At 37.1% G+C, this 13,237-nt stretch overlaps 1 protein-coding gene across 6 annotated transcripts in view, besides 1 other annotated feature; it reads right to left on the bottom strand.

The window, feature by feature from the left end:
• Nucleotides 1-13,237, bottom strand: part of OSTF1 (osteoclast stimulating factor 1) — a 58,752-nt gene that overhangs the window by 8,604 nt on the left and 36,911 nt on the right. For 5 of the 6 annotated variants that reach the window (XM_006717053.4, XM_011518525.4, NM_012383.5 and 2 more), the window contains 6 exons: nt 11,043-11,093; nt 8,021-8,084; nt 6,839-6,892; nt 5,261-5,368; nt 4,267-4,316; nt 1,046-1,124 (listed from right to left, as the gene is read on the bottom strand). In XM_006717053.4, the coding sequence (XP_006717116.1) occupies nt 1,046-1,124; nt 4,267-4,316; nt 5,261-5,368; nt 6,839-6,892; nt 8,021-8,084; nt 11,043-11,093 (406 nt within the window). Of the gene's footprint in view, nt 1-1,045; nt 1,125-4,266; nt 4,317-5,260; nt 5,369-6,838; nt 6,893-8,020; nt 8,085-11,042; nt 11,094-12,156; nt 12,186-13,237 lie in introns of all 6 variants that reach the window. The other variant, XM_011518524.3, reaches the window with a different exon arrangement.
• Nucleotides 1,410-1,909: an enhancer, noted in NCBI's record as "H3K27ac hESC enhancer chr9:77751669-77752168 (GRCh37/hg19 assembly coordinates)". NCBI's record gives its function as "activates a minimal SCP1, AML or CMV promoter by ChIP-STARR-seq in primed H9 embryonic stem cells {active_cell/tissue: H9 hESC(primed)}" and the evidence as "EXISTENCE:reporter gene assay evidence [ECO:0000049][PMID:30033119]".

The following is a 13,237-nucleotide window of genomic DNA, read 5'->3' as shown; positions in this document are numbered from 1 at the left end:
CCACATTTGCAAAATGTGAAATTATTTTTAATTATATATTTTATTTAACCCAGCATATCTGAAATATTATCATTTCAACACATAACCAACATGAAAATTACTGTGATGTTTTACTTTTTGTTTCACTAAGTCTTTGAAATCTGGTATGCATTTTACACTTACAGCACATCTCAATTCAGATAGCCCCATTTAAAGGGCTCAGTTGTGCACGTGGCTAGTGGCTGCCATATTAGGCATCAAAGTCATCAGTATACCCTTTACAGGGCACTAGAGTGATCCTCATAATGTCTGGCCTTTTAGACCTGCAGCTTACATCACCAGCATACTTAAAATCTAAACCATTTCCTATCATATATCCCACAATATTGCTCTGAGGATCCCTAATGAGGGTAATTCCATGACAAGTGTCTTGGGGACTCAAGCATCCTACATGATAGGCTTCTGGACTAGAGTATGGTATAGGTGATCTGCCTGGCCTTCTCTAAGAGTAAACTAATATTTGTGGGACAAAAGGATAAAGGGATAGTCAGTTTATAAATTCACTGTTTCCTCTGACTTATAAAAACAGGGGATCAAGATATCCTCTCTCGTTCACTTTACATCTAGCACCTGCTCAGCTCAAAGCAGGACATTGCAGCCGCATCATTCTTGCTTATCTGTCAAGACTTCCCTGTGAGAACAGGGGCCTCAGCAACTTTACCTATACAGCTTTCTCAGACAGGATCTCCCCAACACACGTGTACACATACATTCTTTGTTTCTAAGGCTCTATAATCCTGCAGAAACATACAATACAGTTCTTACTAAAAGTAATATATGTAATGTTAAAGCTTGCCATGGTTTTAGTTTATATTAAAAACTAACACAAACCAACCCCCAATAATTTTATTTTATCATAACTATTCCATGATACACAGGCAGAGCAAAGGTTAAACCCTATTTTGAAATAAGACTATTATTCTTCCTACCATTTCAAATGGCGTAAGTTGATATAGACTATTTTTCAGGGCAAGCAAAGACCAGATAAACTCAGCACAAACTTTACCTTTTGCCAGAAGCAACTGGACGATATCTGCATAACCCTTCCAGGCAGCAGCATGCAAAGCTGTATCTCCCAACTTGTTCTATAGTGATAAAAAGAGAAAGTACCATTTTTAAGATAGAGGGTGGATTGAAAGTACATGTTAATTCAGGTTTAACCCAGTTAAACCTAAAAGTTAAACCTAAAATGGGAACAAAGTTATAGAACCACATAAAATTCCAAAGAGAAAAGGAAAGGAGACTCAAGAGATGGGAGAGGAGTCATTTTTGGGAGATGGAATAGGATGGAGGAGTACAAGCTGACTTGGTGGAGCACGAGCTGAAAAGCACATGCCTGCGGAGGGAGATCCAGGAGGAAGGAAGCAGATTTGAACATGCAGAAGCCTGGCAAAAATTAGGAATTGGAGATTCCTGGAGGTGCTAGGGCAGGCATGAGGCATGGGTGGGAAAACAGAGATATTGGTTTAAAGTACTCATAAAAAGTAGAATCTCAGAACCTCTTCCCCTTCTCTTGCTGCCAGATGACCCAATAATGATGACAGATTTACTTGTTGAGAAATTAACCTGATAGTTTCCAAGTTCATGAACACTAGGTACAAGAGAAGTAGCAAAAGGCCAGAAACTCAAACCTGAGGGTTAGGTAAAAAACCTACAGACTGAACAGTAAGACCCCTCTCTCAGGTACCTTTACGTACCCCACTGCCCAGTGTGCACATACCCCCAGGCAGGAGACTGGAGGGCACTTCTCTGGTGAAGCAGTGCAGCCCCATGTGCAGGGAAGGGAAGGAGTGTCACTTTCATTAGCATTTGGGTGTCACCTAGCAAAATAGCCAGGACCTCACCACATCACCCTATGGAGAAGCCCAACCGCCAGCAGGCCTCACCAAGCACACACAGCTTCCAATCACACCTAAAAATGAATGGATAAGGGCCAGGCATGGTGGCTCACACCTGTAATCTCAGCACTTTGGGAGACCGAGGAGAGCGGATCACCTGAAGTCAGGAGTTCGAGACCAGCCTGGCTAACGTGGTGAAACCCCGTCTCTACTAAAAACACAAAAATAAGCCAGGCCAGTGGCATGGGCCTGTAGTCCCAGCTACTTGGGAGGCTGAGGCAGGAGAATAGCTTGAACCCGGGAGGCAGAGGTTGCAGTGAGCTGAGATTGCGCCACTACGCCCCAGCCTGGACAACAGAGCGAGACTCCATCTCAAATTAAAAAAATAATAATGAATGGATAATGACACCAAGTGTTCGTGGAAAGCCTACAATATTTTAGTAAAGACCAAAACAAACAAAATAAATGGATCTCAAAGGGAAAAAACACAGTACAGTGAAGAGCCAAAAAACATAGTTTGAAAAGTTATAAATATTATATCAGCAAGATATAAGATCATATTGTGTCATGAAACAAGAAAAAGATACTACGTAAAAGTAACAATCAGAGTAAAATAAGGGCTTATAACAGAATTCTAAGAATGGCCCCCAAGGTTCCTGGCCCTGGTACAGGCCCCCTCCTCTTGACTGCAAGTGAAAGCAGTGAATGTAACAGGCTATCACTCCCATAATTAGGTTTCTAGTCAGCGGATGTTGAATTCTTCAAAAGGGACATTATCCCAGGTGGGCCTGACCTAACCAGGTGGGCCCCTAAAAAATAAAAACAATGAAACAGCAGAGAGACAATCTCCTTCTGGCCTTGAGGAAGAAAGCAAACAGCCATACTGTGAGCTGTCTACAGAGAGGGGTGGCCTCTAAAAGCTGAGGGCCTCAGTAATACTACAGTTAGAAGAAAATCAATTCTTCCTACAACCTAAATGCACTTGGAAGAAGACCCCAAGCTCCAGATGAGAATCCAGCTCCAGCCAATCCCTTGATTTCCACCTGGGAGACCCTGAGCAGAGAACGCAGCTATGCCATGCCCAGAATTCTGACGTACAGAAAGTATAAGCTGCTAAGCCTGTGGTCGTTTGCTAGGCAGCAATAGAAAACTAATACAGAACTCTGGGGAATTAAAAAGATAACCAAAATAAAACAAAGGTGAGAATATCTCTGGGAAAAATTAAGAAAACTGAAGGTTCAATCCAAGAAGTCCAACATCCTACTAATGGGCATTCCAGAACCAAAAGAACAAAGAAGGGTCAGATAAAAATTCTAAAAGAAATACAAGATAATTTTCCAGGCTGAAAGAGTTCATCATAATCATTGGGAAGAGATGAATGCTAGCACATCATCATAAAATTTGAAAACACCAACAATAAAGTAAATACTCTTAGCAAGAGAAAAAGCAGATCATACATAAAAGAATGGGAATCAAAATGGCACCAAATCTCTCAAAAGCAACCCTGGAAACAAGAATGCCACAGAGCCATGCCTTCAAAATTCTAAGGGAAACTGTTTTTGACCTAGAATTCTGATCAGCCATATAATCAATCCCAAGCTTCTCTTTCTCAGGAATCTACTTGAAGATGTTCTCTGACAAAAGAAAGACAAGGGATCCAGAAAAATGAAGATGCAACATGGCAGAGAACGGAAGGGGTTCCCTGGAGGACAGCAAAGGGCCACAGGGACCAAGCTGCTCAGACTGGAGAATGATGGAGAGCTTCAGGAAGTAATGAATCCAGGGAGAAAAAAGAAAGCTGTTGATTATCTTACACATTTTGGAAAAGTATTATATATCAAGACTGTATAAAACAGTAGAGAAGTCACAGTGAGATAACAAAAAATGAGTTTTAAAAAGTAAGTACAGAAACAAAAAAAGGTTATATAAGCAGTGAACACTATTTAGACACCCATAATAAAGTAAATATTATATAGTAATATAACCAAAAACTGTGATGAAGTACACTGAGGAGCAGAGGAGAACAGGCTTGGTGCTGGGGTGCTGAAAGATGAGAGCTGGGGCAGCTGACAAGCTTAACCCTTCACATACCCAACAGGAGGCCAAAGTACACATGAAGACAATGCATGGCGAGATAGCTCCGTCAGCCTATTCCTTAGTAACACAAAGGTAAGTACAGGAAGAAAGAGCTAAAAGCTGAAAGTGACATATGAGGAGGAGTGGGTTTGGCACTTGGGGCTGTGGATAATTTGAATTTTAGTACAATTATAATTTTTAAATTATGTGCTTGTGGGATTTTGACTACAATACTTCACATGCCCATGAGTTGCTCTGTACTAAAGACAACAAGCAGGTATGTGTTAAATAATTTTCAAATAAGCAGTCTTACCTGCTGGTTCAGTTCAATATTTGGTTGAGTAAATAGCATTTCCACTATATCTGAAATTCAAAGAGAAAAGATACCTTTTAAGAACGAAAATTAGAAGCCTGACAAATCTAGGTACAATAATTTTATAAAAGAGAGATTCTTCAGAAGAACCTTCAAGAAAATGTTAACACATTTTGTAAAATTTATAAAATAGAAAAACTTAAGAATCTAAAAAGTGGAATTATTTAGGAAAATATACTTTTTCTAATAGTTTTGGCTTTTGCATTTTCATATGACACTTAGAGGAATATTTTTACATTCACTATAATACTTTTCATTCATATAACTAACATGTTTATTAGCTGAAATAAGATAGGCTTCTTTTTAGTAGACAGTTACAAATTTTCCTTTGGCACTGCTATTTAATTTGTTGAGATCTTCATTTCTTATTGTTGTTGAGTTTATTTCTTTTGTTATAGAGAGAGGTAGAAAAGCGGTGGGTGATAAATTTTTGTCCAGGAAGAAATACATCTAAAAATTCAATTTGTCATTATTATTGATTACAACAGAAAAAGTATCAATGGAATCACTAACTTTGGCAAATGTTGGCTTTCTCTTGAATCTAATAGTTTGCATTAAACTTAAAATGCAAATCATAAAAGAAGACCTTGTGAAAAGCTAAGCTAGAGGAGCAAATTCTGATCTTTCCTTCTGTAAGATTAGACAGTGGTTTTGTTTTTATATTACTGCTGTTTTCCAGTAACCTTTCTAAGCCTGAGAGAGGAAAGGAAGTGTCCAGTCTTTCAAGCGAGAGGGACCCATGCAGTGAGGCTGACTGACCACATTCTACCCACTGTTCTACAGAGCTTCCAGGAACAAGGGTTTTGGCCGGTATTCTAAAGGATTCAAAAAGAATAGCCAATGCTTTTCCTTTCTCATTTTTTGTAAATCTGGCTCCCGTAGGTGAAACACATTTTCAGCAGCATAGAAACATATAACAAACAAAATGTAATACCTTTGTGGCCCCCGTGGCAAGCCCAGTATAAGGCAGTGCTTCCAGCTTTGTCTAAGCCATTAACACCCACTCTGTTGTCCAAACACTCTCTCAACCAGCTCAAGTTGCCTGAAAGAATTTTACATTTACAAGAACACAAGAAAAAAAGCTTTCACTTTTTATTTTGCTTTTAAATCAATGTCATTCTGCATAAATTTCCATTTGCAATGGATTAATCAGCAAGTATTAAATTAAGACCTCCCCATTAATGCATTTATTATGGTACATTTTGACTTCCAGCTTATTAATGGAAAGTATTAACATCAATGTTTCTAATGATAAGTTAATGGGAATAGTTGCCCAAATGGGTATACTTAAGGTATTTCTATTCTGTTAAAAAATATATAGGGGTGTGTGTGTGTGTGTGTGTGTGTGTGTGTGTGTGTGTGTATGTGTGTGTATGTGTATATATTATTTTTTTCTTTGTGAAATTCTGGAAATTGAGGAAAAAACAATCAAACCTAAGAACAAGCAGATACTATTCATATTCATATTTAAAATGCATCTTCAGTTCCTATAAGAAAGGCTAAATAACCTACTCAAAGCTGCTGCTCTTATATGCTAAACTATAACTATTAATTTAAAATCCTCAGGCTAATGTCCCAAGTATCTAATTCACAAAGAATTTTTTAAATGTCAGTTTAGTCCTTTTACTTTTTCACAATCCTAACCAATAATTTCCTTGTGTACATTCAGATTTCCAAAAAAATCTAAAAATGGAATGAAATGGAGCTCATTGAGGCTTTACAAAAACTCCCCATTATCTACAGCAGGGTTTCTCAGCAGCAGCCCCATTGGCATTTGGGGTTGGATTTATTGTGGGGGTGCTCCTGTGTGCTGTAGGATGTGTGGCAACAACGCCTGCCTCTCCCCAAAAGATGCCAGTAACATCCCTCCAGTCATGACAGTCAACATGTCTCCAGATATTGCCAAATACCCTCGGGGTTTGTGAAAGAGGAATCACCCCTAGCTGAGGACTACTGATCTACAGAATAAAGCCCAAGACAAGGCTGATCGTTGTTTGGTCAAGGATCTTCCCCAGGTTCATCCCTGTTAGTCATGCCCTCCCTGGCCAAATGCTCACCACACCAACGCTCTCCTAAATGCTGTACCCACCAGACCCTTCCATTCTCTTGCCCTCCAGTTACTCACCTGGGCCTCTACGGCCTGTCAAACACATTTCAATTGCTGTACTTATCATACCATATTTTAATGATCTGTTACATCTCTCTCTCCCCTGCCAGATGTTGTGCTTTGGAAGTCACAGACCATGTCTTTCGACTTGCATCTCCCCACAACAGTGTTTCTTGACTGACATTTTAAAACTAAAATCACACTTCTCTAGGGTAGTAGATGTTGGGACAGACTGTAAGGCAGGGATTTAACTGAGAAGGTGCAAAGGGAACTTTCTAGGATGGCAGAAATGTTCTAGATCTTGATCTGGGTGTTGGTTACGTGGGTGTATGCACTTGTCAAAGCTAATTGAAATCCGTGCCTTTTACTGTACTGCATACCTCAGTCAAAAAGAATCACACCTACCTCTTTTTGCTGCTTCATGCAATGGATTGTCAATGGATTCTGCCTGCTCAGCCACTAGATTGAAAATAAAAAGTGTTAACCCAATGTGGAATTGCCACACAAATGATTTACTGAAGCCACTCATTCACCACAGTCCCCCAGCTTCAGGAGTACCAGGGCATTCAACACAGTTTCCTTTACTTAATGTGGATAAAAAGTAACAGAAAATCAAATGGATAGTTCTTGCATTAAATGAAGCTGAATTATGTGTTTAGGGAAACCAAGCCAAGCAATAAGGCAATAACATAGTAATTAACTGGAAGTATAAACAAAAACAAACAAACCCGCATACCTGAGTTAAATGCACACTTGATATTACTCAAGTATTTAATAAACAAAGTCACAAAAATGCAAAAGGAAGCATTTGATGTTCATTTTTACATTTTGTAGATCACTCTGCTTTAAAGATACCTGAAAATAATTTTGGTTCTCTTGTGTGTATTTATGTAGGATCGGATGAGGGGAGTATTTTGCTTCCTGTATTCAGAAAGAACAATCAGCATAGCTACCTGCCTCTTAAAGAAGGCATGTTCGCTGCTGTCCTAGAATCAGTAGGAAGTGTTATTAGGAAATGGAAGAAAGAGGATTAAAACTCAGGAGCCTTGTTTATCAATTCTGTGCTCTTTTGACTTGATTCTGCTGACAACTAAACAAGTGTTTTATCTGTTTGTCCCACTTCCAGCTTGAAGCAGCTTCATGGCGGGAGCCGTGTCTCTCATCTCTCAAAGTCTCCAAACTGCCATGATAAGCATTTAATGAACATCACTGCCCCAAACATGAATGAACAAGGCCGGGTTACTCCATCACAAAAGAAACGGCTAGTCTAAGAAACTATCTGCAAGATTGAGTTTATCAGCATTAAAAAAAATTGTTTTAAGGGTTGAAGAAAGTAAAACCATAAGTGTTTCCTTGGAAACCTTGGGTTAAGAATGCTAAAATGCATTCTCTTAGGCCACAGAGTCAGGCTCAAGCACATCTGGTGTTCATGGCCAGTTTATTAACAGAAGGCTCATGGAATAGAAAATGTCCTAGACTGACAATGACTCCATTGCTTTCTCAGCCACAGTAGCAAGCAGAAAAGCATCAAGAACCAAAAAATTCCAAGTGAACGAAGCTAAAGTAAAACCACTCAGCAACACTTACCATAGTTGCTTGGAATTAGTCCAGTCCTGCCTTTGGAGGTGCCTTTCCACCAATTGGTATCGCTCTGGTAAAAGAAGAGTTAAATTAAGTGGTATGAAATCCAGACTGCATTCATTCACTTTTCAAATTATCTAGCTCCTAGGGAGTACCTGTTCTACAAAATGTCCATCAACCCTACCCACACTATCAAGCTTCCTCACGCCCTAGCTGTGGGTGTCCGTCTCCCTTACCACTCAGTTACAAATAAACACGCATCTGCCTGCAACAAATGGAATACGTTTCATGACAGAGTCTCAACAACCAAACAAATAAGAGATGACATGAAACAGAAGAAAACAAATTACGCTAGTTTAGACTAGCTATATGATTTTTTGTCCACAGTTTCATTTCTCTTAGCTTTGAGATAATTTTTTTTATGGGGGAGGAAGTTCTAAAGATCTCTTTATATTATCTTCATTTTGGGGGTAACTTGTTATTATAGAAAAATTTAAACTTACAAAAAAGTAGAAAGAACAATGTAATGACCATATATATACCCATTTCCCAACTGCACAAATCATTTATTAATGACCAATATTGTTTCATATATGCCCCCATGACGTCCCTCCCCTCCTGGATTATTTTAAAATAAATTCTAGACATCATATTATTTCATTTGTAAATATTTCAGTACGTATCTCTGAAAGACACATACTTTTTGAAAGGCAATTATAATGCCATTATCACAGCTTAAAAGTTTTTTCCAACAATAATTCCTTAATATCATCAAATATCTAGGTCGATACTCAAATTTCCCAACTGCCCCATAATTTGGGACTCAAATAAGGGCTATACAATATGATTGATTTGTCTTTAAGTATCTTTTAATCTATAGGTTGTCTCTCCATTCTTTTTTATCTCTTACAATGTATTTGTTGAAGAATCCAGTTGGTTTGTTCTGTAGTGTCAACCTCTATGGATTTTGCCTGTTGTATCCCTGTGTTATCATTAAGCATGTTCCTCTGTTCCCTGTATTGCCTATAAATTGGTCATCAGTTCTAGAGGTTTAATTAGATTCAGCTCCAATTTTTTTTGGCAAGGCTATTTCCTAGGCAGTATTGATTTCTTCCATTAGGAAATGCAAACTATCTAGTCGGCTTCTTTTTGTAATGTTAGTAGCCCTTGATGATCATTGTCTAGATCCACTATTTCCTAGAGGCTGCAAGATGGTGACATTCTAATTCTATCATTCCTTCTTCATTGAAATAACCTGAATACCTCTTTAAACAAAAACTTCCTCATCAGCTCTCAGATTGCCCAGGTAAGAAATTCATAAAGAAAACACAGAATAAATGGTGATTCTTTCCCTTAACAGTTGTCAGAATAAAAACCTGATTTCCTAGCATTCTCTCATGCTGACCAATGAGATTTCCTCAGAAGTAACATTAGAAACTCATAAATTTAAATGTATTTAATGGGTTTCAATTCTTGGAAGTTGTTGCCCTAATTGATGCTCAAATTGTCCTATCTTTGGCCAGTGGGAGTCTCTTCAAGTTCGTTCCCAAGTCCTTTCAGTGTGACCCTACTGTCTTTAGGAGCTTCCATGTTTTCTAATAAGAGGATGTTCTGGGTTTATCTTGTACCTCTGCTGCCCCTGACTTGGTACCAGCCATTTCTCAAAGAAGCCTGTACATTTCAATGGAAAATAACATATTATTATTGGGTTGGTCATTTTTCCTAGGCCCTTTCAAAGAACACAGCAGGGAATATTTTTGTTTTATTTTAGATAAAATACAATGTGATCCTTGCAATTCAGATGAAGGAATACAGAGTTTTTCTTAAACTGTCATTAATCTTACATCTGTGTATCCTTTTTGCTATGCTGAAAATCCGTTAGCAACATCACCGACCTAATTACTCATTTGCTCTAAACCACAATACACATGCAACAATCTCAGAATTAGCAATACCTACATTTCCCTAACAAGGGCATGATTTAAAACAATTTACCCTTTTTTGGCCATTTCTTTTTGTCCATATATATATATGGACAAAATATATATATATATATATATATATATGGACAAAATATATATATATATATATATATGGACAAAATATATATATATATATATGGACAAAATATATATATATATATATGGACAAAATATATATATATATATATGGACAAAATATATATATATATGGACAAAATATATATATATATGGACAAAATATATATATATATGGACAAAATATATATATATATATATATATATATATATATATATATATATATGTCTTTCATACATATCCATATTCTACTATGGATGTTCAGTCAAATTGCTGAGTTTTAAACTTGGAATATTTCCTCTCTGTGTGGTTAGGCCAATTACCAGGGTACAATTAAGTTCATTTGATTCATTCTGCTTTTAATTTTTAGGGATTGCTTTTTACTTCAATTTTTAACCATGTCAAGGTTTACATCAGTTCAAAGTCAAATCCACAAAACAAGGTATAATTTTCTAAAAAGTCTATCTTCCATCTATGTTCATTATACCCTATTTCTCTCCTTCCACCTAGAGAAAGGATCTTTACTCTTCATAGAATAAAACTAAATTTTACTTTGCAACTCATCTTTCAACTTTTTATCTGAAATTGAGAAAAACAAGTGTCTGCATGTATGTGTGTGTACACATACACTCTCACCCTTTCCTAGAAAACTGAGGATATATTATCTACATTTTCTCACTTTGCTTTTTTTTTCACTTAAATTACTTCATAATAGCATATAGAGATATTCCCCATTTCTTTCTACAGCTGCATAATATTCTGTTTGTGGCTAGACCAAAGCTTATTCAACTCTTTCCCTATTGATGGAAATAAGGGCTATTTTCAATCTTATGCTACTATCAATTGTGCTAAAATGAACAGACTTGTACATATGTATTTCTATGTACATATATATTTAAATAACTTACAATGTTATAGCTACATAAAACAGTCTTTATATGTGGTATTACAAGATGTTATCTGGACTTACCATGTCAGTAATGTAGATAATATCACCTTCCTCAAAGTATAATTCATCTGGCTAGAAGAAAAAAAAAAGTTTGACTCCATGTGATTTTTCATGAATTAGAATATGATTATATAGATTCAAAATTCTATCATATTCTAATAAGCAATGTGGTTTTATACACTTAAATCAGCACATAAGCCATATAATAAAACACTACTGAAAAATTAACACATGAATAGACGGCTAGATTTTTTTCCCATGATGAACTTCAAAGAATTACATATATAAAGATTCTCCACACACATCTTGCATTCTTCTACAACCAAAGCAAGACATTTGTATATCAAAATAGAGTATTAATAAAACTTCTTCCTTGTAGAAATTCTAAAAGGTGGTATACATTTTTTCATAAAAATATAAATGTCTAGAATTAGAGTCATGAAAAACAGCCAGAAGCTTGATTTTCTCTTAAACAAGGCCTCAATCCTTGAACACTTTAAGATCAACATCTGCTATCTGCTCATTTTAAGAAAATCATTATCCTAGCTCTTCATGTTCAGGGAGAATGAACATTTTCTGTATGAGAAAAGTTAATATGTAATTCAACCATTAATAAGGCTAAAGAGCTAAAAGATATGAAGCAGTAACTCAGCCAGTCCAGAAACCCCAAGCAGCTCTAAGGAGTTGGCTAATTACACAGACCATATGTGCTCTGGCCTGTACCAACCAAATGTTCTAAAAACTTTCTGAGGCCAGGTGCGGTGGCTCATGCCTGTAATCCCAGCACTTTGGGAGACCAAGGCAGGTGGTTCACAAGGCCAGCAGTTCAAGACCAGCCTGGCCAAGATGGTGAAACCCCATCTCTACTAAAAATACAAAAATTAGCTGGGCATGGTGGGGGATGCCTGTAATCATAGCTACTCGGGAGGCTGAGGCAGAGAATTTCTTGAACCCGGGAGGCAGAGGTTGCGGTGAGCTGAGATCACGCCACTGCACTCCAGCCTGGGTGACAGAGCGAGACTCCGTCTCAAAAAACAAAACAAAACAAACAAACAAACAAAAACAACCAAAAAACACTTTCTGAATAAAGATACACATTTTAAACATCTTTTGACCATCAGTAGATAACACTTACCATGACTTTGTAAGTAAGTAGGGTGATGCCTACCGAGAGCAAATTTCAGGTGTTAGGAAATGTTTACATCATCATGGTGGATGAAAAATGTAGGACACAAATTTCACATGTGATAAGAACACAACTATGCATTAAATAGACACAAAAATTTCCAAATTCTGTCATGAGCATGTGTTGCTTTCATATTTCAGGTGGGAAAAATACTTTTAAAAGAAAGGCTTTGATATTTCTGATTATAATTACTATTCCATATAAATCAAAATTATGCTAGTGAAACAAATTACTTCATCCAGCCAGGCGTGGTAGCTCATGCCTGCAATTCCTGCACTTTGGGAGGCTGAGGCGGGCAGATCACTTGAGGACAGGCGTTCGAGACCAGCCTGGCCAACATGGTGAAACCCCATCTCTACTAAAAACACACACAAAAAATGTGCCAGGTGTGGTGGTGCACACTTATAATCCCAGCTATTCGGGAGGCTGAGACTTGAGAATCACTTGAACCTGGGAGGCAGAGGTTGCAGTGAGCCAAGATTACGCCATGGCACTCCAGCCTGAGTGACAGAGCAAGACTCTGTCTCAAAAAATTTTTTTAAAAAATGAAATTAAAAATAAAATATTTCATCCATTCATTTTTCCATTTGTTTACCTCCTCTCAGTAGCAGACTAGAGCAGTAAATATGATTCTGCACTAGCAATTTATTTAGTTTTAAAGCTGATCTACATTCTTATTATAACTATTTCTCCATGAATCTAAATGAAGGCTATTATCAGCAATAACATGCTTTAAGCAACCATAATACATGAAAATACTTAGATGCATTATGCATTCAAATATAAAAATTAGCAAATGATGATTATTGATGCCCCCAAATGGCTAAGTCCTTTAAAAGGTAACTTTCTGAAATATATATTGCTTTTACACTTTGATTTGCACAGACTAGTCTTACACATAGCACAAACTATGGAAAATTAGTTATATGTACTAGACCTTGTAATACACATTTTGATATTATTTGAAATAAGTTTTTACTTTTTTTGTTGCTTGAATTTGGGAAAAAAGAAGTTAATGACCACTAATATT

Source organism: Homo sapiens, chromosome 9 (assembly GCF_000001405.40).
Source record: "Homo sapiens chromosome 9, GRCh38.p14 Primary Assembly".
NCBI lineage: Eukaryota > Metazoa > Chordata > Mammalia > Primates > Hominidae > Homo > Homo sapiens.
This window is presented reverse-complemented; position numbering and strand designations above follow the sequence as displayed.